This window comes from Homo sapiens, chromosome 22, assembly GCF_000001405.40.
Source record: "Homo sapiens chromosome 22, GRCh38.p14 Primary Assembly".
Lineage (NCBI taxonomy): Eukaryota > Metazoa > Chordata > Mammalia > Primates > Hominidae > Homo > Homo sapiens.
In genome coordinates this window covers 34,347,784-34,374,115 of record NC_000022.11, presented here as the reverse complement: position 1 = coordinate 34,374,115, position 26,332 = coordinate 34,347,784, and the positions used below count along the sequence as shown (strand labels likewise).

The 26,332-nt window shown below is 38.8% G+C and overlaps 1 long non-coding RNA gene across 2 annotated transcripts; it reads left to right on the top strand.

The window, feature by feature from the left end:
- Positions 1-11,802: 11,802 nt before the first annotated feature.
- LOC105373012 (uncharacterized) lies at positions 11,803-24,439 on the top strand. 2 transcript variants are annotated; one of them, XR_938200.2, is made up of 3 exons: positions 11,803-11,935; positions 13,886-14,003; positions 23,988-24,439. It is a non-coding gene; the product is annotated as an uncharacterized LOC105373012 (long non-coding RNA). The 2 variants fall into 2 exon arrangements; XR_938201.1 differs by lacking the exon at positions 23,988-24,439 and adding an exon at positions 18,478-18,701.
- The last annotated feature ends 1,893 nt before the right edge of the window (positions 24,440-26,332 follow it).

Here is a 26,332-nt window from a genome sequence, read left to right as displayed (position 1 = left end):
AAGATGCTACTGTTCTGCCTCCATCATACCTAAGGCTTTGTCTCTGGGTCACAAAATCTCTGTGCAAGAAGCCAAATTAATCCCCCGGCATGATTCTTCAATGTATGCTTTCATATTGGATCTGTAGATGTTCTTTTCCTCCTTGCCTGCCGTTTTTCTTACCATACAGTGAAAGAAAGCCCTCCAAGAGGGTTAAACTCCTTTACCGAGCCAGTTCTCCTTTATCAGCCACTTGGACCATGCTCTGAGTGTTTTTCCTTTCCACAGAACAAATTCAGTGCTTGTCCTCAGGGGGAAAGTGCCTCTCCAGAAAACTCACCCCAATTGCTGTCTTCCCCGCTTAGCTTTCTGCTTCCTTCCCCCCTCCCCAGCCATATCTCATTCAGCAGGTTTGACTCAATTCTTGTGATAATCTTGGATGCTTTTGCCACACACAGGCCTATCTATCTTATTAGATGGGGCTTCTGAAGAGTCGTAACCATCTTTTCTCATCTTTAAGGGGCCTACCATAGCACAGAGCTGGCCAAAAGTAGTCACTTAATAGTTATTTTCTCAGTTAATGACTAAAATAAAACCCAGCATTTAGTCATAGTTATAAATATATTAATGATGCCTATCATGTATTGAGTACTACACAATACATAAATTATGTCATTTAATTCTCCCCCAAACCCTGAGTGGTCATATTTATTTCTATCTTCCAAATTGAGGTTCAGAAAGGATGAGTGGCTTGCCTAAAGACACACCGTTTAAAGTGGTACCCAGCTTATATTTGATTGAAGATCTGACTTCAAAACATTTCCAAAGAATGAATGCAAAAATAGATACATGAATATTTGCATGTGGTGATAAATAAATGGAGTCTAAATATTGCAATGTGAACATGATTGTATCATGTCCACAAATGCCATACAATTGCACAGCCCTGATGATCTGCAGGATCCCAGGGTCTGAGAAGCAAGAAATTCAGGCACCCTTCAGTTTCCAAAGTGTTATTTGGCTGATGAAGAAGACTGAGAAATTAGGGCTAGGGTAGGAGAAAGGGGGAAATGGGGAGAATGTCGGCAGGCTCTTGCTCTGTTCTGTTCATTTCTTCTTTGGCTTAATACAAATTTTCCTTCAATTCAAAAAGAAACACAACAGATACTTCTTTTGCCTCTCCCCCTGCTCTTCCTAAACCATCAAGCTCTTTTCCACAGGCTTACAAAACTATCCAATATCCACTGAAGTGGAAAAAACAAGAGGTTCTCTATGCTTCAAGTCACAAGCTTAGGAGCCTCTCTGGGATGCCTCTTTCAAAGAGAATGCTTGATCTGTCACCTCAGTAATTACACTATCTTTAACAAACTCCCCTGTTGCCTCCAGAAAATCTGGCTGTCTCTGGAAGAGATGACCTGGGGCTGGGAGAGCCTCACCTTACTGTCTCAGGTGTGTGGAGACACATAACCCTCTTCCATAAGTAGATTTTACTTCTACTCCCAAGATGATGGCTGGAAGGAGTGTTAAGCCTTCCTACTCAGCACACCGTGAAGTCCTCACCAAAGAGCTGGCGTTAGGGGTGTGGAGGTAGCTGAGTAGTGTGAGGCAGCCAGCAGAAGATGTGCTCTCTCACTCCAGGACTTCCACACTTCCCTCAGAAGCTCTCTGGTATCAGAAGCTCTCAAACATGCTACTCTCTCATACCCAAAATATGCTCCCCTGGACTCTTCACCTAGGGACTCTAACCCACATTAATGGTCTCAATCAGAATATCACCCTTCAGATTTTGTGCAAATAGTGAAGTGGTTAAGAGGATGAGCACTGGAATCCCTATATTTGGATTTGTACCCACAGCTACCACCTACTAGCTATGGACTTTGAGCAAGTTACTTGGTCCCTCTGTGCTTTGGTGTCCTTTTTTAACATTAAATAGGAAGATAATCTTGTGATCATTAAATATGTTATAACTCACACAGAACAGTCTTGACATATAATAAAAATTCCATCATTATCAATGATTAATATTAGGATTCTCCTTTTTTAAACTCTTAGCACTTAGAGTTATATGTTCACTATCTGCATTTGCCCCTAGACTTCAACATCCAAGAGGTTCAGGAAGTGTGTCTGTCTTGTTTGCTGCTGAATTATAAGTGCTTATCATGGTACATCGAAGACGGAATATAGTTTGAATAATGAGTGAATCAATCAATGAATTAAAAATCTTCAGCAAATGCTGAAGACCCCTCTGAGAATATCCATTATATCTATCTTTTTTTACATCCCCAGGGCCTAGCACAATCTCAGGCTTCTAATGAATAAGTGCATACTTTTTGGATGAGCAAATGATGCTTTTCCGGAAAGGTGAAGAATAGTAGAAATAGGAAATGCAATTGTCAAACATGCAAAAATGCCAGAAAATGTTTATTCTTGCAATCTCTTAACATTCCATTAAAATCATCTGTGATAAAGGTGCTTGCCATTTAGCAGCGTATGAAAACACAGAAAAGAAGCAAAGTGTGGCTGCCAAGTGATATGCTCCAGACAGGTTAGGCCAGATAAGTAGTGAGGGAGAAAGCAAAAACAAAGTCATCACCCCTTTGAATTTCTGAAGAAGTCTGACTTCTGCTTCTGCCCTGTATGCTGATCTGCATGAAGGCTCTGCTTCCCAGAATCTCAGGAACCAGATTAATGGAGGTTCTGCCATGTTATGCTGTTGCCATCTCAACACAAGACTTCAGGGTTTATAGCAAGGGAAGGAGCATGGAGATCACATCCCAGCTCAGGGAAAGCAACAAAGAGCCTTGAACCATTTGGTCTCTGGTCTGTGTCGGTACCAATGAACTGAATCTGAATCTTTTACATGCTTGCTAGAAGGCAAAAGTCTTTGGAAGTAGAGTGGGAGTGAAAATGCATTACCTTACTATCTGGTAGCATAAATTTTCTTAAGAAGGAAACTTTTTTTTTTTTTTTTCCAGGAAAATGCCTTAGTTTCTTGGGGCAGAAAGTGGGACTCTGAAATCATGAGTGTTAGCAAGAGCTCCAGCAACAAAGAAAAAACAAGTCATTCTGCTTGAGATAAAACAGAAGGACATAAAGGGAGGGACACTTTTTTTCCCTAGGAAGGGAAATTTGGTTAAGAGAATGAAGGAACAGAGAAAAGAGGAGGGAGGGAAGAACCAGCGGTATTGCCTGAAGCTGACATGCTATGTCAACTGAGTGGCAGGTGAAAGGAATCCCTGCTGATTTGGAGGCTAAACTACTTTTATGAGCAGAGCTGGCAGATATGCAATTTGAAGTGATGTGCCTGAGAAAGCAGCCTTGATCGAGCTTTCCATTCTTACACAAGTCTTTGTTAAAGTCAACCAACACAAATACAGTTTTAATATGAGCCTATTGTGTGTGAGTGAATATGTGTATGGGAGGCTGAGTTTCCGATCTAGGTTGGCCATGTAGAAACTGAAACACCATGTACTAGGGGGTGAGATATCTCATAAAGTGAGGAATCCAGAAACTAATGCTGGAGGCAGCCATGAGAAATGTAAGCCCCTGGGAATCATCAAAAATACAGGATAAAACCTTGAACTTCTGGTGACTAGGATGAAGGCCAAAACATCTTTTTTAAACAACAAGAGGTGGGAAGACCCTGTCTGGCATCTGGGACACATACAAATTAAACACTCATAAATACATTTCTCTAGCTAGGCTGGAGAAATTCTCCTGATTGATATACTGAAATATGTTTTCCAAGTTGGTTCCATTCTCCCCATCTCTTTCAGGGACACCAATGAGTTTTAGGTTTGATCTCTTTATGTAATTCCATCTTTCTTGGAGATCTTGTCATTCCTTTTCATTCTTTTTCCTCTATTCTTGTCTGACTGTCTTATTTCAGGAAGCCAGTCTTCAAGCTCTGAGATTCTTTCCTCTGCTTGGTCTATTCTGCTTTGATACTTGTAATTGCATTATAAAACATTCAAATCCAGGAAATGCAGAGAACTCTATTAAGATACCTCATGAGATCATCCCCAAAACACATAATCATCCAATTCTCCCAAGTCAAAATGAAAGAAAAAAATGTTAAAGGCAGCTAAAGAGAAAGGTCAAGTCACCTAGAAAGGGAAGCCCATCAGACTAACAGCAGACTCTCAGCAGAAGCCCTGCAAGCCAAAAGAGATTGGGGGGCAATATTCAACATGCCTAAAGAAAATAAATTCTAATCCAGAATTTCATATCCAGCCAAATTCAACTTCATAAGCAAAGCAGAAATAAGACTCTTTTCATATAAGTACATGTGAGGAATTTGTTCCACCTACCTGCCTTACAAGAGAGCTCCTTAAGGAAGCATCAATATGAAAAGCAAAGACCATTACCAGTCACTACAAAAACACAGTGAAGTACACAGACCAGTGACACTACAAAGTAACCACATCAACAAGTCTGGAAAATAACCAGCTAACATCATGAGGACAGGACCAAATCCACATATATCAATACTAACCTTTAATGTAAATGTCCTAAATTCCCCAAAAGACACAGAATGGCAAGCAGCATAAAGAACCAAGGCCCATTGGTATGCTGCCTTCAAGAGACCCATCTCACATGCAATGACACACATAGGCTCAAAATAAAGGAATGGAAAAAATATACCAAGTAAATGCAAAACAAAAAAGCAAGGGTTGTAATCCTAGTTTCGGACAAAAGACTTTAAACCAACAAAGATCAAAAAAGACAAGGAAGGGCATATATAACAGTAAAAGTTTCAATTCAACAAGAAGATCTAACTATTCTAAATATATATGTACCCATCACAGAAGCACCCAGATTCATAAAGCAAGTTCTCAGAGACCTTCAAGGAAAGTTAGAGTCCCACACAATAATAGCGGGAGACTTTAGAACCTCACTGACAATATTAGACAGATAATTGAGACAGATGATTAACAAAGATATTCGGGACCTGAATTCAGCACTGGATCAAATGAACCTCATGGCTAATTATAGAAATCTCCACCCCACAACAATAGAATATACTTTCTGCTCATTGCCACATGGCACACACTCTAAAATTGATCACATAATTGGAAGTAAAACACTCCTCAGCAAGTGCAAGGAAACTGAAATCATAACAATCTCTCAGACCAAATGCAATCAAATTAGAAATCAAGACTAAGAAATTCACTCAAAACCATATAATTACACAGAAATTGAGTAATTTGCTCCTGAATGACTTTGGGGTAAATAATGAAATTAAGGCAGGAATCAAGAAGTTCTTTGAAAATAATGAGAACAAAGATACAACATACCAGAGTCTCTAAGACAAAGCTAAGGCAGTGTTAACAGGGAAATTTATAGCACCAAATGCCCACATCAAAAATTTAGAAAGATCTCAAGTTAACAACCTGACATCAGAACGGAAACAAGAGAACCAGGAGCAAACAAATCCCAAAGCTGGCAGAAGACAAGAAATAACCAAAATCAGAGCTGAACTGAAGGAGACTGAGACATGAAAAACCATTCAAACGATCAATAAATCCTGGAGCTAGCTTTTTGAAACAATTAATAAAACAGGCCAATAGTTAGATTAACAAACAAGGAAAAAGAGAAGATTCAAATAAACATGATCAGAAATGACAAGGGGGATACTACTACTGACCCCACAGAAATATAAATGACCATCAGATAATATTATGAACACCACACCTCTATGCTCATAAACTAGAAAATCTAGAAGAAATAGATATATTCATGGAAACATACACCCTCCCGAGAGTGAATCAGGAAGAAACTGAATCCCTTAACAGATCAATAATGAGCACTGAAATTGAGTCAGTAAGAAATAGCCCACTAACCAACAACATACCAGGACCAGATGGATTCACAGCTGAATTCTACCAGATGTACAAAGAGCTGGTACCATTCCTCTTGAAACTACTCCAAAAAATTGAGGAGGAGAGACCTCTCCCTAACTCATTCTTTGAGGCTAGCATCATCCTGATACCAAAAGCTGGCAGAGACACAACAAAAAAAAACAACTCTGGGCCAGTATCTTTGATGAACATTGAGGCAAAAATCCTTAACAAGATAGTAGCAAACCAAATCCAGCAGCATATCAAAAAGTTTATCCACCACGATCAAGTAGGCTGTATTCCTGGGATGCAAGGTTGGTTCAACATATGCAAATCAATAAATGTGATTCATCACATAAACATAACTAAAGGCAAAATCACAGGATTATATCAATAGACACAGGAAAAGCATTTGATAAAATTCAGCACCCCTTCATGTTAGAGGCTTTCAAGAAACTAGATACTGAAGGATCATACCTCAGAATAATAAAAGTCATCTGTGACAAACCCACAGCCAATATCATACTAAATGGGAAAAAAATGGAAGCATTCCCCTTGAAAACTGGCACAAGACAAGGATGCCCTCTCTTGCCACTCTTATTCAACATAGTATTGGAAGTTTTGGCCAGGGCAATCAGAGAAGAAGAAATAAGTACATCCAAATAGGTAGAAAGGAAGTCAAACTCTACCTGTTTGCAGATGACATGATCTTATATCTCAGCCTCAAAACTCAAGCTGATAAACAAATTCAGCAAAGTCTCAGGATATAAAATCGGTGTGCAACAATCACTAACATCCCTATACACCAACAACAGTCACACCAAGAGCCAAATAAGACATGCAATCCCATTCACAATTGCCACAAAAATAAAATACAATAAAATACCTAGGAATACAGCTAACCAGGGAGGTGAAAGATCTCTACAAGGAGAACTACAAAACACTGCTCAAACAAATCAGAGGTGACACAAACAAATGGAAAACAGTTCATGCTCATGAATAAGAAGAATCAATATTGTAAAAATGCCCATACTGCCCAAAACAATTTAGAGATTCAATACCATTCCTATTAAACTGCCATTGATATTCTTCACAGAATACAATTGATATTCTTCACAGAATAGTTATTTAAAAAATAACTATTTTAAAATTCATATGAAACCAAACAGAGCCCAAATAACCAAGGCAATCCTAAGCAAAAAAAAAAAAAAAAAAAAAAAAAATGCTGGAGGCATCACACTACCCAACTCCAAACTCTATTACAGGACTACCATAACCAAAACACCATGTTACCGGTACAAAAACAGACCTATAGACCAATGGAACAATTAAGGCTGTACACCTACAACTGTCGGATATTCAACAAACCTGACAAAAACAAGCAATAGGGGAAGGATTCTCTATTCAATAAATGGTACTGGGATAACTGGCTATTTGCAGAAGTTTGAAACTGGACTCCATCCTTACAACCATATATAAAAATCAATTCAAGATGGATTACAGACTTAAATGTAGAATGCAAAACTATAAAAACCCTAGAAGACAACCTAGACAATATCATTCTGGACATAAGAATGGGCAAATATTTCATGACAAAGTCATCAAAAGCAATGGCAACAAGAGCAAAAATTGACAAATGGGATTTAATTAAACTAAAGAGCCTCTGCAAAGCAAAGGAAACTATCAATAGGGTAAATAGACAACCTACAGAATGCGAGAAAATTTTTGGAAACTATCCATCTGACAAAGGTCTAATCTCCAGCATCTATAAGAAACAAACAACAAACAATGCCATTAAATAGTGGGCAAAGGACATTAACAGACATTTTTCAAAGGTATACATACATGCAGCCAACAATCATATGAAAAAAAGCTCAACGTCACTGATCATTAGAGAAATGCAAATCAATACCATAATGAAATACCATCTCATACCAGTCAAAATCCAAAGAAGTAAAAAAATAACAGATGCTGATGAGGTTGCAGAGAAAGAGGAATGCTTACACTGTTGGTGGGAGTGTAAATTAGTTCTCCCATAGTGGAAGATAGTATGGCAATTCCTCAAAGACCTAAGAACAAAAATACCATTAGACCGAGCAATCCCATTACTAGGTATACACCCAAAAGAATATAAATTGTTCTATTATAAAGATATATGCACATTATGTTTATTGCAGCACTGTTCACAATAGCAAAGTCATGGAATCAACCTAAATGCCCATCAGTGGTAGAATGGATAAAGAAAATGTGGTACATACACATATACATCATGGAATATTATGCAGCCACAAAAAAGAATGATATCATGTCCTTTGCAGGAACATGGATAGATATGGGGGCCATTATCCTTAGCAAACTAACGCAGGAACAGAAAACCAAATACTGCATGTACTCATAAGTGGGAGTTAAATGATGAGAACACATGAACACATAAAGGGAAACAACACACGCTGGGGCTTATCAGAGGGTGGAGTGTGGGAGAAGGGAGAGGACCAGTAAAAATTACTAATGGGTACTAGGATTAATACCTGAGTGATGAAATAATCTGTACAACAAAACCCCATGACACAAGTTTACCTATGTAGCAAATCTGTACTTGTACCCTGAACCTAAAAGTTAAAAAATTCTCTGCTCTAATGTCTTGCATTATAAAACTGCATAAAAATAAAAAGATTCATGGGAAGAGTGAGATTGGGGAAGACCATTCAAAACTGTAACTAGAGCACTCAAAAACACAGTAACAGTTCTAATACAAATACTAACAGAGTTAACTTTCCACAAGCAAATTTATTTAGACCACAGTCAATCCTCAGTGGCTTTACACCTTGGTTCCTATGAATCCTTTGATTATCAATTTCATCAAAATTAAAATACAACCCAGGATGTAGCCTTCTTCCTAAATCCATTGATTTAATACAAGGAAAATACCCTTGCAGATCCTCTAGAAACTGAATATTGGGAAAGCACCATTGTTCTTAAAGCCTTCAAGCTAGCCATTACGTGTGCATTTTGTCTTCTGTTTTAGGATCTTCTTTAATTATGGGAAAACATGCTCCTGATGACATCAAAGCAACAATGTGCTGGAGAAAATTGTGAATGAACTAATATGACTCCCACATTACACAGATGTTACACCCATCACACATGAGGTGATTCATGTCAATGAAACAAGTTGTGGCAGAAGAAATTACGCTACTTCCCTCCTTCTCTCCATCCCATCTTTGGCTTGGAGGAAGATGGATAGTTCAGAGCATCTTGCAACTCATCGATTTACCTATCTGGAGCCCTGCTTACTGCAGGGAGCATCTTTGGCAACTGAGGTGCAGTGATCTTAGGCAGAAATCCAAACAAACCATGAAAGTTACGGAAAGACTCTTGTTAGAGCCTCTAGCTCTTAAATACTCTTTTACTCTTTAAAGAGTGAGTTTTGTCTTAGAAATTTAATTATATTTTCAGAAACTTTTGTCATATGTTCATATTGACAGTCTTTCACTTATTCATTTTTTCATTAATATATATTAAGTGCCTGCTGTGTTGAGGATACAGGACCTGAATACATATTAATATATTTTTTTCTAGGCTCTCTCCCTCTCTAAATTTTGAAATCATTTAAATTAAATGCTCATCTCTATCTTCCTGGTCTAAATCAAGGTTTGGAATAGAACAAGTCCCCACAAATCCTGTTGAATGAATAAAACTATACCTTACTTACTCAGCAGTTAAAAGCACATGCTGTGGATCCAGAAAGAGCCAAGTGAGAACCCCTGCTCTTCCACACAGCTATAACCTCAGACGTTTTATTTCACTAGCCCTAGTTTCCTTATATGTGAAATGGGAGCAATAATAACTATTGTAACCATCAAATGAAATAATGTGTTAAACATCAGCTCCATGCATGGAACAATTCATGTGCTTAATAAATGTTATAGTTATTTTCATTTATTTATTTTTTAAGACAGAGTCTCGCTCGATCACCCAGGCTGGAGTGCAGTGGCACGATCCTGGCTCACTGCAACCTCTGCCTCCCGGGTTCAAGCGATTCTCCTGCCTGAGCCTCCCAAGTAGCTGGGGCTACAGGCACCCACCACCACACCCGGCTCATTTTTGTATTTTTAGCAGAGGCGGGGTTTCACCGTGTTGGCCAGGTTGGTCTTCAACTCCTGACCTCAGGTGATCTGCCTGCCTCTGCCTCCCAAAGTGCTGGCATTACAGATGTGAACCACCGTGCCCAGCCTGTTACTGTTATTATAATTAGTATATTAATAAGTCATATATCTTGATTTCAACTTATATATACATAGATTTAAGTGACCCTAGACGTGATCTCAGTAAGCTTTTTCCAGATGAGGGACACTGACTGAGCGATATAGGTTGCTTTGCTCAAGGTGGATTTAATAAAGTCAGTTTAATAAGTGACAGCACCATGACTAAATGAGTGATGTAAACCCTAGTCTTTCTGTTGCTGTCAGCCCTTTTCTGATTCTGTTATTACCTCTCACTTACATCCAGTGTTTGTAGAAAAGAAATAGGAGCTACACTTACTCTGCTCTCTCATGTGTGTTACTGGTATTACCTCGGAGCCTTGCGGTACCCCCTGAAAAAGATACGCCAAATATTAACTCCATGAAGTAGTAAGGGTTTTTTTTAATTGCAAGTAATGGAAGACTCCACATAAACTAGATTAAACACTAGAGGAGATTGTTAGCTCCCGTGATAAGAAAGACTGAAATAAGGCAGGCTTCAGTGTGGGCTAATCCAGTAACCCGGTATCAAGAGTGTTGTTTGTTTACATGTCTCAGCTCTACTCCTCAGTGTTAGCTGCATTCCACGGCTGGCCCTCATCATGGCCACAGAATCATGATGTGCAGCAATCTTAAGTCCAATGGAAAGCAAGTCCCATCTCACAATAATCAAACATCGTGAACTTTGTGATGATTGGGTCACCTCCAAACCAAGGTAACCAAGGAACTGCTATGTGCCAATTGGCTTACAGCTATGATATTCTTAACCAATCACTGTGAAAAGCAAAATGGAATTAACATGATCGGCCTGGACCAATCAGGACCTACTCTATCCCTATGCACAGATGGCTGTTACACAGTGGGAAAGAGGTAGAAGGAAGAGCTGATGGACTACACCCCAGTTTACCAATGAGGAAAAAGAGACTCAGGGCTGGGCGCGGTGGCTCACGCCTGTAATCCCAGCACTTTGGGAGGCTGAGGCGGGTGGATCACGAGGTCAGGAGATCAAGACCATCCTGGCTAACACGGTGAAACCCCATCTCTACTAAAAATACAAAAAAATTAGCCAGGCATAGTGGCAGGCACCTGTAGTCCCAGTTACTCGGGAGGCTGAGGCAGGAGAATGGCGTGAACCTAGGAGGCGGAGCTTGCAGTGAGCCAAGATTGCGCCACTGCACTCCAGCCTGGGCGACAGAGCAAGACTCTGTCTCCAAAAAAAAAAAAAAAAAAAGACTCAGAAGACTAACAGGAAGCTGGTCATGTCAGAGCTGAATTTAGAGTATGGGTTTCCTTAATGCTCATGTCAGTGTGTTTTTTTCTGCTATCTGCTCACTTCTGTGAGAGATGAATCAATTTATTATTGATTCAATCTTTGCTCTCTAGAGGGATGGGTAGTGGGTGTCAGAGCAGAGCAGGGATACTTTGACAAAAGGCATGCTTTACTCATTGCCTCACTACTTGCTTTGTACTGCCTCTATGTTATTGTCTGCAAAGAATTAGAATGAGTTCTGGGGGGACTTCAGAAGTCAGAGGGCTCCTAGGTCACCAGGCAGATCACATAGGAGCAAATAGACTAGAAGGAAGGTCAACTAGAAGGTCAATACTGTCTAGCAGTTACCTCTCCATTTACCCTGCCCTAAAGCCCATCCCACCATGACAGCCAAGAGATACTTATCCCACTGAATTGTTCAATGGCTCCAATTTGGTTAGCGTTTACTTCTCTTTCCACCCAGGTGGAAAGAATGACAGCACTACTAGGACACCACGCTTTTGAAAATTTGTCCCAAAGAGTAAATAGAGCCCATGACTGGCAGGAGGCTGAGCACCAATTTGGAGATAACTTTTCCTTTTAAACTCAAGAAAGTGCTATAGGAGGTAGGTCCATTTTGAATAAAAGGAGCTGTGTTCATATCCTGTTATATAAGACTTCCTTGTCCTGAATTCTTCTCCACTGGCATGCTCATTAAACCTGTAGCCAAATTTCTTTTTTAAAAAACCTTTGATTCCTCACCACCCTCAAGTGATTTCACTATTCTCTCCTTCTCACCCAAATTCTCAAAAATACTACCTACATTTTTTAATTTCCTCAACTACCTTAATCCTTGTATATTGTAATACAATATAATTCACAAACATTATCTATTTAAACTAGACAATTCAATGGCTTTTAATAGGCACACAGTTTGACATTTCCTCACCCCAGAAAGAATCCCATACCCCTTAGCCATCATTATCAATCCCTTCATTAACTCTTCTTAAGACTCTTATTAAGAAATATGACATAGGTACAAAGAAGTGACTTAATATACATGTAAAGTTTAAAGAATAAAAATAAATGAAAATAAGTACTTGTTGAATAAAGAACTGATGAATAAAAGACAGTTAAGAAAAAAAACAAGTATAATGAAAATAAAACAAACTTCATGCACTCACTCCCCAGACTGAAAAGTTGAATATTGCTAATGTTTTCCTCCTAGAGGGACCAAACGTCCTGAATTTTTAAAAATCAATTTGGTTGCTTTTCTTGATAATTTTACAAGAAATGCATAGGTTCTTAAACTATGTATTATTTAGTTTTGCCTGTTTTTGAAAGTTGAATAAATGACATCGACTTGACCATATTCTTCAGCAACTTTTTTTCCCCCTCAACACTATGGTTTTTAGATTTCTCCATGTTGGTGCTTGTAGCTGTAGTTATTTTCACTGCTTATTTATGTTGTATGAGTGAAGCACAATTTATTTATCCATTTTATAGTAGGCAGGCATTTGAGCTATTATTTTTGCAATTTTAAAATCAATGCTGAAATGAGCATTCTCTACATGCCTCTTAGTACTCATAAATATGCATTTACGTAGAGCATCCTCCTAGCTGTAGAGTGCTGAGTAGTGGGGCACACACATGTTCAACTCTGCTAAGTAGTGACCAGTTGTTCATCAAAGCAGTTCCAATTTTCCCTCCCTCTATAACTTTAATAAGAATTCCCATTGTTTTTTTAAGTTCTAGGATACATGTGCTGAATGTGCAGGTTTGTTAGTAGGTATACATGGGCCATGGTGGTTTGCTACACCTATCAACCTGTCATCTAGGTTTTAAGCCCCTCATGCATTATGTATTTGTCCTAATGCTCTCCCTCCCCTTTCCCCCCACCCACTGACAGGTCCCAGTGTGTGATGTTCCCCTTTCTGTGTCCATGTATTCTTATTGCTGAACTCCCACTTATGAGACCATACAGTCTTTGGTTTTCTGTTCCTGTGTTAGTTTGCTGAGGATGATGGTTTCTAGCTTCATCCATGTCCCTGCAAGGACATGAACTCATTCTGTTATGGCTGCATACTATTTCATGGTGTGTATGTGCCACATTTTCTTTATCCAGTCTATCATTGATGGGCATTTGGGTTGGTTCCAAGTCTTTGCTATTGTAAATAGTGCTGTAATAAACATACATGTGCATGTGTCTTTATAGTAGAATTATTTATAATCTTTAGGTACTAATGGGATTGCCGGGTCAAATGGTATTTCTGGTTCTAGATCCTTGAGGAATATCAACACTGTCTTCCACAACGGTTGAACTAGTTTACACTCCCACCAACAGCATAAAAGTGTTCCTATTTCTCCACATCCTCACCAGCAGCTTTGCACATCTTTGTTATTGTAAATTTTTTCCATTTAAAATATTTATTTTGCCTTTTGCTGGTTATTAATGATGTTAAGAAATTTTTGTCATGTGTTTATTGGTCAGTCATATTCTATGTTCTGCTAAGAGCCTGATTTTGTCTTTTGCCCCCTTTCTATATTGTGGTTTGCCTTTTTGTATTGTTTCACAGGCATTCACTATACACTTTAGATTTTTCCATACGGATCACCAATTCCTAAAATCTATTGGACAATAGGCCATTGTTTCCTTCTATCTGAAACATCAGCTCCGTTATATCAAGATTCCAGGTAGGTGAAAGGTTTGCTCATTAGCACTTTATTATGTTCTCTTGAAGTATTTGTAACAGATTACTAATTACTAGTTTTATAATGAGCCTTGATATTTGGCAGGATGAGTTACTCTGCCTGATACTCTGTCTTTGGGAGTACCTTTACCATTAGTTGGCCCTTGATTCTCCCTCGTAATTATTAGAATCAGTTTATCAAATTCTACAAAAAAACTTGAGATATTATTGGATTTTGGTGCGTTTAGAGATAAATTTGGAAAAAATTGACACATTTATGGCATTGAGTTTTCCTGCCCTTTGGTAGAGTATCTCTTTCCTAGTATATGAATACTCTTTAATGACTTCATAGAATGTTTTATACTTTTCAGCATAAAATTCTTGGACAGTTTCACTTAGGTGTAATTATTTTAATTTTGTGTGAATGTTATTTGTTACGCGTTTTTTACTAGATTGCTGCTAATGTTTAGGCATGAAATTAGCTCATATATTGATCTTTTATCTGGCAAATTTGCTAAACTGTCTTATGCCTTATAATAATTTTATGTATAATTTTCGACAATTTTTATGTAGAAAAACATATTTAAATGACACTTTGATGCTTGATTTTCAATGCATTTATCTTTTATTTATCTTATTTTTGCTGACCACAAGTTTCCAATAAAATGATAAAAGTAACCGGTGATAGCTCTCATTCTGGTCTTCTTCTGATTGTAAAGGGAATTCATTAAATATTTTATGATTGAGTATGATGTTTGCTGCGGGGCTTTTGTGTATAGATGGAATATATTTTCAGTTTCAAGTCTGGTAAAAGTTTTAATTTTATCATGAATGTGTGAAATTTCAAAAAATTCATTTTTGCATCTATTGAGGTGATCATTTATTAATAACTTTCCTTTGGCTTGAAATGTAGTGGCTATAATATTTCTAATTTTGAATCCACCAGGCATCCCTGGAAGAAACTCAACTTGGTCATATTATCATTTCATCTTTTGCTAGATTTGGAGTGTGCATCTGTAGGTCTGTGTGTGTGTGTGTGTGTGTGTGTGTGTGTGTGTGTATGTGCAGGAGTAAGTCTGCTCTGAAATCTTCTGTTACAATTACATCATGGTATAGTTTGGGTGTCCAGGTTATGGAAGGCTTAAAAATGAGTTGGGAATTTACTTATTTACTTTAAAAATAAATTTTATTTTAAATTTACATACAGTAAGATTTATTCTTTTGATGCTCATTTTGCATTATTTTTCTATTTCAGCCATATGAAGAGTTGTTTAATAGAATCTCAGCTCATGACTAATGATGCTGAGTATATTTCCATATGCCATCTGTTTCAATCTTTTTTTTTTTTTTTTTTTTTTTAGACGGAGTCTCGATCTGTCACCCAGGCTGGAGTGCAGTGGCGCGATCTTGGCTCACTGCAAGCTCCGCCTCCTGGGCTCACGCCATTCTCCTGCCTCAGCCTCCCAAGTAGCTGGGACTACAGGTGCCCGCCACCACGCCTGGTTAATTTTTGTATTTTTAGTAGAGACGGTGTTTCACCGTGTTAGCCAGGATGGTCTCGATCTCCTGACCTCGTGATCCGCCCACCTCAGCCTCCCAAAGTGCTGGGATTACAGGCGTGAGCCACCATGCCCAGCCTGTTTCAATCTTTCTTTTTTTTTTTTCAAATTGGGTTGGGTTTTTAATACTTGAGTTTTAAAAGTTCTTTCTCTACATATTCTTGATACAAATCCTTTATCAGATATATGATTTACAAATATTTTCTTATCATTACAGGTACTGGTCATTCTTCAAATTTTCACTTCCTTCCCCAAGTGGCCTTAATTATCCTCTGATTACTCAGCTAGTTGATTAAGGTGGGGGTGGGGTTCAGAGTTTTTAGTTGTAATTATTGGAGAAGATGGGCTATAGGAAACTAATTCCGTCTTAGCATGCACCAAAAGTCAGCCATTTCTTATTCTTTAAAAGCTTGAATACTCAGTCTCTTTATGTTTTGTAAAATTCACAGGCAAGACCACTTGAGCACCTGTGGGTAGATTTTAAGAATTTTTAAAAATAGCCATAAAACTAGTTGACCCTTAAACAAGACAAGGGTTAAGGGTACTGACCCTCACACAGTTGGTTATCCACATGGAACTTTAAAATCCCCAATAACTTAACAATAATCTACTGTTCACTGGAAGCCTTGCCAATGAAATAAACAGTCAACACATATTCTGTATATTTTATACTGCATTCTTATAATAAAGCTAGAGAAATTATTAAAAATCATAAAGAAAATATATTTCTTATGCATTAATTGGAAGTGGATCATCATAAAGGTCTTCATCCTCATTGCCTTCACATTGAGTAGGCTGAGGAGAAGAAGGAAGAGAAATAACTAGTCTTCCTGTCTCAGGAGTGAGAGAGATGGGAAAAATATCACATATAAGTGGTTACATGCAGCTCAATCCCACGTTGTTCGAGGGTCAACTACTATTCAGTTTTTCTATCTCTCGTTCAGTTGGTTTGGTAATATACAGTTTTCTGGGAATGTGTGACCACTTAGGTTTTAAAGTTAATTAGTATAAAGTTATAATATTCTTTTAATTATTCTTTTATTTTTAGTTATGGCTTTTTCTTACAATATTATTTATTTTTGCCTCCCTTTCTTGCGGGGAAAGAGGTAGGGCAATCTTGCCAGAGGTTGGCAATTACATTATCGTTTACAGAGAACAACGCTGTCTTCTTTATTGTACATTTGCATTCTATTTCATCTCTTTCTGCACTATTATTTTCTTCCTTCTACTTTCTTTGGGTTTTGCACTTATCGTATTTGTAACTACTTTAGTTGGATACTTATTTCCTTTATTTTCATCCAGTCAGGACTGTAAGCAGTAAAAGTTAAGCTTTCTCTCTATTCTACTATTTTAGTTTTATCCCACAAGTATAGGTTTGTTGTTAGAAATTTTCAGAATAGACTCCTGTATTTCTATTAGTCTAGTGTTTCTAACAGCTTGTGGAAAACTACTACCCTTGGGGAAAATTAGCCCTTTTTTTTTTTTTTTTTTTTTTTTGAGGAATCCCTAGCTCCGCATCCATTGGCCCTGCATGACCACCACATGCCCTACTGGCTTCTCCTTCCCCCAGGAGAGTCTATCTGTGTGTACCATGCCTGACTCTCTGCCTGCCTCCAGAATGGCAGGCTCTTGGGGAATAAATGTCTGGCAACTGTCAGCTCACCTAGAAAATACTCTTCTATCTCTGGAGTTTTAATTCATCTTCTCCCTTTTTGCTTTCACAGGTTTCATAGGTCTTTAAAAATGTAATTTTTCAATTCATCAAATTTTTTTCTAGTTGATACAATGGGACTGTTAGCCTGCTATGATCTCCTACATACTACTTAGAAGTGAAAGTCCTCTTTGGAAGTTTTTAAACTATTTCCTAACTGCTCATGACTCATAAATTTATATCTCGAGTTCTGAGCTCTCCCATGAGGTTTGAACTGATATATTCAACTGCCCTGAGATTCATCCACCTGAATGTCCTAGTTATAGTTCTAACTCAGAATATCCAAAATTGAACTCTCCATGTCCTTCCTCCCATACTAGCTCAGTCCTCCTGTGTTTCTGCCTAAGTTGGTGGTATCACCATCTCTCCAGTCATCCAACCTGGAACATTCTCCATACCACACAGATCTAATGTTAACTGTGCTTTGCTTACATTATATCTGTAACCACCATGCTTGTTTAATAGATAAAAACTGGCTTAAGATGAGCCCATCAAAATTATTCCCTGAGAATTTTATTCCTAAACCTGGAATAAGAGAGTCTTTTCCATCCAGAAAGATATGTGCCTGCAGTTATTAGAGACCATGGCTCCTGTCTCATGGATAAAGCAGACCTGGAAGAGTGACACTAACGTAGAGTAGCAGGTATGAGAGAGCAAGAATGAGACAAGGCAAGAGAGAGAAGATCTTATGGACATGTATGGCCATCGTTCTAGTCATCCATGTTCTTCCCTAGGCTCAGAAATTTTTTTAACCTCAGCTAGTACAAGTCAAGTTTCTGTTGTATAACACCAATAGATCTCTGAACTAAGAAGTGAATGGGCAGATGTTTGGTTTACAGCAGGGCATAAAGCTATTAAAGAATAGAAAGAAGAATATCTCTAGAAGCTCATTATTAAGTGGGGGCAGAAAAATATGACACAAACTAAAAATGATTATCATGTAAATGTTACTCCCTGGTAAGTACTGCATGTGTTAGAGAGAGGAGACGGGTGCACTTCTGGATGGGGTCATCTATGAAGGCTTCATGGAGGACAGAAAGAAACAACATCACAGGAGGCAGGAATGCAGGTAGACAATAATAATAGCCAACGTTAGTTGAGCACTCATTATGTACCTGCCACTGTTCTTAGTGCCTTCGGTGTACGAACCATTTAAATCCTTAAAAGAACCTTACGAGATATGTACTAATATTCTCTCCATAATACAGATGAGAAAGTGAGGCAGAAAGAGATTAAGTAGTGGCCAAGATGCTGCAAGAAATACACACCAGGGCCTAGAGAAAGACACAGACAGGCTGGCTCTTCTCCCAGCCGCCAATGGCCAATCAGGCACTGCAGCTGAAGAACTTCATGCAAATGTGTCATCACGGTGCAACTTCATGGTAACAAACATTTCCATTTGTTGGGAGTCAAGGTTCCTGAGGAAAAGAAGTCGAAGGTAAAGTGAAAAACTAGCTTGTAGGTCATATCCTTAACACTCTTCAATGCCACATGATTCTGAGCCGATTCTCCTTTTCCTGAGGTCAGTTTAGTAAATCATGATCAAGCTTCAATGCAGACATCAGTCTTCGGAGCCACTGTGCACAACTGTTAAAGTTGTTTACTGCACATGGGCACCTGGCTTCAGGGACCAGTGGGACCAAAATCAAGCCCATGCACCTTTGCAAACTGGAGGTCTTCCACAGGTTGTATCCATCTGGAGGTTGAGCCTTTTTATGATTTGTGCAATGTACTATCTTAACTAGCAGCAGCCTATCGTTCTTTCTGCAATGTTGTTTGCTGTTAAGAAACTGGAAGGCCTTTCACAGAGACCTTATTGAGGGCATCCCCAGTGCCAGGCCAAAACCGGATGTTTAAATGCTTCTACTGTTCTCATTCTTACACTATTCAGCGCAGCAGTTACAATATCCCCATTACAGAGAATAAGAATTAAGGCAAGAATGTTGCTCGTTCAAGGTAGCAGGGCCAACATTCAAATCCAGCTCTGACTCCAAACAGCAGAAATGTCTCAGCCCTCCCTCTCAACCTCTTCAATACCCAAAATGACGCAAAATGTCCACCTTTCAGCAACATGTTATTAACCACGGCAGCGATTCCTGATAAACCACACCTAGGACCAAAGACCCGGGGAGGCTACAACCTCCCAGCAGCCAAGGAGGGGGTGAGAAAGTTGGCTTCTGGGTTGGCAAAAGCAATGCAGACTGAGCTGACTGCCGTTTGCTTTGAATCCCACCAGGAGATAAAGCACAGGAGACAGATGAGCAGTGTTCCTGGCAACAGATGAAGAGTGAAAATGAAATCTATTCTAAGCTGCCAACTCGCACCTCTCCCTCAGTTTAACAAGTGAATTATTGTCGAATTTGCAGCTACGGACATGCCAGTTATGGTTCAAAACCCTTTCCGTCTTAGCCCCATCTCAGTCAGCCAGAATTGGCAGGGAAGGATTTTAAAAGAAAAAAGAATGAATGAATGAACTAATGAATGAATGAAAAGAAAAAGACACTTTTTAGCCACTGTTTTCCAAAGTGAATCTTAAGTTAGCATGACTCAGCACAGTCTTCGCTGACCTGTCTTCGGTCAGAGAGCTCCCCAGAGGTTTTTCTTAGGCCGGTGAAGGGAACATTTCACCCCATTCACTCCCTTGTCTTTAACTGGTATCTTATTCAAACAGATTTTTTTCCTGCAATTGTTAAAAATTTCAAACACAAAACATCAAACAGGATATAGGGTCCTTACTGAGCCAAAGGAAAATAGAAAATGATTTTGGATTAAGAAACTTGCTCAATGAAGAGATGCTACTTTGAGACCTGCAGAATGGAGTCAGGAAACCATGAGATTTATTATAAGGAAAGGGAAAAGGAAGGGCCCCCGACCGCTCCTCCATATGCTAAGACATTTATATATGTTAACTCATTTAAATACACAGCCACTGGATTGGATAACTACCACTTTTATCATTCCAATTTTACAGAGGGGGAAACTGAGTCACTGAGCGGTTAAATTACCCAAAGTAAAAAATATATATATATTTATATATGACATTATATATATTTTTATATATTTTATAAATTATAAACTATAAAATTATAAATTATAAAATATTTATATATTTATATATGACATTATATATATAAATTTATGACTATATATTTATATATGACATATATGACATTTTATATATGACATATTTACATGACATATATTTATATGACATTATATTTATATTATAAATATAAATATTATAATTATATATGACATTATATATAAATATATGACATTTACATGACATATATTTATATATTTATAGATGACATTTATATATAAATATATATGTATGTATACGTATGCCTCTGGTTGAACTCCAGCAGTTTGGAACAAGAGGCTGCACTCTTATCCACAATACTCTACAGCCCCTTGGTGCTGACTCCAAGGTGACTAGTTAGAAGGGATATTCATGAAGACAATGACCTCACTAAATGGAGGGACAGCCTAATGAAGCCGAAAGCAATGTGTTATGGGCACACACAGGAAACAGCTGGATGAGATGGGAGATTAGGGACCACTTCACAGAACAGGTAGATTTGGGAAAGACCTTGGGAAATAGGATTTTGGAAGGTTAAAAATAAAAAGAAGAACCTTCTAAACTGTTCCTCTCTCTTGAAGCCAGGTGTGCACCTTCCTGTTGTACCCCCAGCTTGGCGGTTCACTGCGATTTTAACTCAAAAAACTGAACTCATCATAACTTTCCTTTCTCTCCAAACCTGCATCTCCGTACTCTGCCTCAGATGGTGGCTCCTCCCATTCACCAACCACTGAACTTGGAAGTTAACCTTGATAGATATTATTTACCCCCTTAATATCTAATTCTAATATCTATTCAACCCCTCAATATCTAATCAATCTAATAACTTCTTTCACCTCCTCAATATCTAATCAATCCTTCCCCTCACAACCTTGTCTTGAAAAGAAATGCAATTGAAGTCGAAGGCCTGGCCTAAGGGACACACAGGACAGTCTCTGTGGATGCCTTCATGGGAAATATTCCTAAGTCAGTCTGTAGAGTGCATGTAGGAACAAGCCAAGAACTTGGTTTCTTAGACTTGTCAATCGCTAGCAGCTGCAAGATGAACTCACCTTCCTGGGCCTCATATTCCTCCTCTAGAAAATGACAGAAGAAACAAGAAAGATTAGAAATGAATGGACTAATTTATTTCTAAGTTCTTTTTTAGTTCAAAATTCTTTCTTTGCTTTCCATCCTGTCATTTCCAGGCTTAAGAACATGCAATAAATCCCTTTTTGTGGCTGCATCAAGTTGTAATGAGCCCTCTTCCCATCCTTCATCAATTTTGAAGCCAGACAGTTTTGATATACTTGGGAATTCTGTTCCTCAGAGGGTAGGAATCCCCAGGAAATGGCCTCACTGTAGTCTTTTGGGTCTCCATTCTAGTTACCACGTTTAGCCCATCAGTTCCTTTATTCTAGACTAAAGGACAGGCCTAAATGACCTGGACAAAGCTTCCTTTTCTACGAATCATGCTCTGGTTTCTGCCTGGGTCCCTTGGGAGTGAGGGCTTCTCCCAAGCAGAGGCATCCACGGACTTATCAGCCAGACACATTAGAAAGAAAACAGAAAAATCCAGATGACAGAGAAAAGTCCAAGACAGAACAAGGCCACAAGCCCCATAAAACTCCTAAATTTGCAAGAAGAAATCCCCAAAAGAAAAAGCATCCAGGTGTAATAAGAAGATGATTTTTTCCCTACCAAAATTATGCATGAACACACACACACAACCCATGCAAACACATGCGCACATGCACACATGCCAACACACATGCACACACACAACCCAAGGTCACAGCTCAAGACTGTGTCTTTAAGAGAGAACTCCCCTTCACAGTCAAATGAGGCAGGAGAAATCTTGAACTACTCTTAGAAGACAAATGGTGTCCCTCTCACACAGTCTGCCAGATAAACAGTAGGTGCACAACCAATATCTGTCAAATGAAGAATGAATACATTAACATTGTAATGTTCTTCTCAACAATATTTTTATTTTTTATTTTTTAACAATATTTTTAATAACAAAATCCAATTCAAGCCACCATAAATATTTGACCAAATACAGATTTTTTCTCACTAACCACTTAGCCTTTGAGTGTCTGTTTTTGTGTTTTAGAAATTTGCCTAATTAAAACCATTATTATTACATTTATTTTAATGATGAGGAAACTGAGGTTCAGAGAGTCTAGGCACTGTTTTCTGAGTAACAGAGTTGTGAGTGAAGCCAGCATTCAAACCCACTTTTATATAAGTTCTAAGCTGGTACCTGTCCACCTCCCTGTGTACTGATAGGGAGAAATATGAGCCAACTTCAAGATAAATAGGTTCAAGTTTTATTATCTGTCTACCCTTGAACATGTTGAAAAAGGTAGAATTTTACTTTCCTCTTTGCCTGGTCAATATATGCCTCTTAGAAGCTGTGTCAAGAGGGATATCATGTTTCTTTAAAGAGTATTCGTTTTCCATTTGTAGAAGTGATGACTTTACTGCAAGGCTAATATTGCATTACTATGGATTTTTTAACTTAATTAAAATTAATGAGTTTTTCAGCTGTACTCCACCCTCCTAAGAACTTTTCTTCAGACGCTGGAAGTACCATCAGGTATATTTGGTTATTGTCTTTCAATTCAGAAAGAAAAATAGGGACAAAACAGCCTTTATTTCCAGGAGTGCAGAGTTGGAAGGTAGAGAGAATAGAAAGGGATATTTTCCTTTTTTTCCTTTCCTATTACTGTCACTCAGTCTATTCCCTTTGCGGTTTAACTGAGTTTTCTAGCCCTGTTGATTCTTATGGAGCCCACCAGTCTTTCTAAGAAACCTCTGACAAAAACACAAAGCCTTTAAGTCAGACTCAGAGATGTTAACATTAGCTGGCTTATCTAGACATTAGCTAAAGTGAATGTCAAATGAGGCTAAATCTTGAAGAGAAAAAAAAACAGAAGAGGATATGTTTAGTCACTGAAAAGGCTTTGCTCTTCCAAATGACAGATCCATACACTTATAGTTTTAAGAGCTTTTGTTATTTAGAGATAATTTCTATAATGAAGTTCAAATTTCTATAAATTGTCAAGAAAAAACTAGTAAAATTACTGCTTAGATTGTGGAAGCATTAGGAATTAATTTTGATGTAGGTACACATTCACATGTAGTTGCCTATATGCAGATACACACACACACACACACACACACACACACACAAACCCCTCCCCTCTCCACCCTGCTCACTTCAGAACTGCTAGAGAAGAAGTTTTATTCCTGTAACCTAGTGTTTCCTCAAGTATGAATTGGTATCTCCTAGTGTGATTCCCTGTGTCTTGCTGATGCTCACCTCACTCTTCCTCTGGGTGCAGGGGTAGTACATGCTCTGATAGTAACTTTGAGAAGACAAACTGGGTGTGCATGGTTCAGCCTCTTCCAGTTCTATCTCTATGGGACTAGCCTGCTCTCAACCATATGCTAAGTTTATCTGTAAAGCCCCCTGTTCTGTTGGTGAGCCCATTCCCACCCTTGACTGTGTGGAGGTGGATAACTGTCTCATTCTGACATTCAGTATCAGGAAGCCCATGGTCGCAACTCATCCAGCCCACATTTCCTGATCTAGCTTTAACAGCCATAGTAGCTTGCTCTCCATTCACTGGATTCTTTTTTCTCTCTCAGCTGGTTCAGAACACAGGCCCCGGCAGAGAAGGGAATTGTGTATTTACCCCAACAACCCTCAACAATGACAGCTCCTTCCGTCTTCTAACCTCTGGGCAGACACTGACTAAAGGAAGAAAGCACAGAGAGGATCTCTTGACGGAATGCAAAAGACTTCCCTAGATGTCTGCTATCAAATGTCTTCCTTTTAATCTTGGGAGTAGAAAGGGAACCTGGCTTCCTTTCTGGACTTAACCATGAAACCAGCACCATCACATCACCCCTAAACAGAAACTAAGACCCTTCCACATGCCCCTTGTCACCACAACCATCCTCTACTGACCCATTTTTACAGATTAGACACCTCTTTGGACTTCACTTCCCTCACACATGCAGTAGGGATAATAGATAACAGAATTATCCACCTCATAAGGTTACTAGGAGGATTAAGTGAAACAACAGATGGAAAGGTAGCTGACACTGGCACAGTCTCAGTAAAATTTACCTAGAATCGTTATTTCCGTGTTTTTGTTTTTATTTCACATTGCCTTTTTGTTGTTGCAATAAGAATGACAATGAGGTCCAATGAGGTTATGCTCCTTACACAAACACTCATTTCACAGTTTGGCATCTGTTTGCTTTGACGTCTTGCCCATCTTTTATCTGGTTGTTAGTGTAATGCTGAATTAGCGTCAGTGGACAGGTCTCTTTTATATGTGCATATTGTTAGAATCCTGATCATATTTTCAAAGTGATCCTTTAATCAAGAGAGACAGGACCTCTGTGTGCCAAGAGTTCTCACTCAGTTCTGCACTGATTGGTAAAGGTGTTAATGGCACCAGCCTATAATTAATTATATAGCCCTCAAAGGTCAGCATTTCCATTATCTCCAGCTCCATCACTAATGTGTCTAAAGTGAGGAAAGAAAGGCGCACGGGAAGACCCTAATGTGCCCTTCGAGGCAGTTACACTCCTTGGAGGCCAGTGGGAGCCAGTGTGTGGTAAGAGAAAATCAGGACAACAGGGGGCAGGTGATTTTAAGAGAGTGATAGTTCAGTTCCCCTTCCTGTGTCCATGTGTTCTCATTGTTCAATTCCCACCTATGAGTGAGAACATGTGGTGTTTGGTTAAATGAAGAGTTAATGGGTGCAGCACATCAACATGGCACATGTATACATATGTAACAAACCTGCACGTTTTGCACATGTACCCTAAAACTTGAAGTATAATAATAAAAAAAAAAAGAGAGCGACAGTTCAGAATGGAAGGCTGTTGGCCTTGAAGTCAGAAATTCTGGTTCAAGTTACCTATCTGCCACTAACTTACTGGATGAACCCTGAAAACAAAAGGGAACCAGCATTTTTCTGCCAGATACCTAAGTGCATGATTTCATTTCACCTTTTCAACATCACCATGAGGGAGACATTATTCCCCTCCAATTCACAAGGAGTGAAAATTAATCTCAGGCTAGTGAACTAACTTACTCAAGGGCACACAGCTGGCATGCTGCAAATATAGGGTTTAAACCCTGGAAACTGACTTATTTCACTGCATCCTGCTGTTTCTAAAATATTATCCTAATCTCCAAGATAAGGGGCTGCCTCCACATTAAAATCTGCTCATATCCTACTTATCAACCAAGGAGAAGTTCAATGCTACCTTCTCCATGTTGCTGCCTCTGTTCCTCCCAGCTAGAGGTGACGTCTCTTTACCCTTTATGTGCCAGAGTTTGTAGCAAGTTATGAGTAAAGGAGTCTTATCATTCCCCTCTGCCTCAAATACACTAGCTCTGTTGAAAGCATTTTCTTTCTGCCTAAAATGGATGTAAATTACTAGTTCTTACACTGGGAACAGCACCTTCTTTTCCAGGAGCTTCTCCTTCACTTCCCACTAGAGTGTTCTAATTGGTATTTCTAGCTTCTTGCAAACCGTATCTCACTGATTATATCAACTTCAAGCTAGTCAATCATGATACCACATCTTTCATCCTTTCTCCCCTCCCAGTTGATTAGTCTAGCATGAAACAAGCAAAAGAGAGAGTCTGGAAGTGGAAGCAACAAGATGCAAAACATAGTAGTAAAATTACTGCTTAGATTATGGCAGTGTTAGGAATTAATTTTGATGCAGGTACACATTCATATGCAGTTGCCCATATGCAAATACACACACACACACACACACACACACACACACCCCTCTTCCCTCTCCACCCTGTTCACTTCAGAATTGCTAGAGAAGAAGTTTTATTCCTATAACCTAGTGTTTCCTCAAATATGAACTGGTATCTCCTAGTGTGATTCCCTGTGTCTTGCAGATGCCCATCTCACTATTCCTCTGGGTGTCTACGTCCCATCCATGTGGAGAAT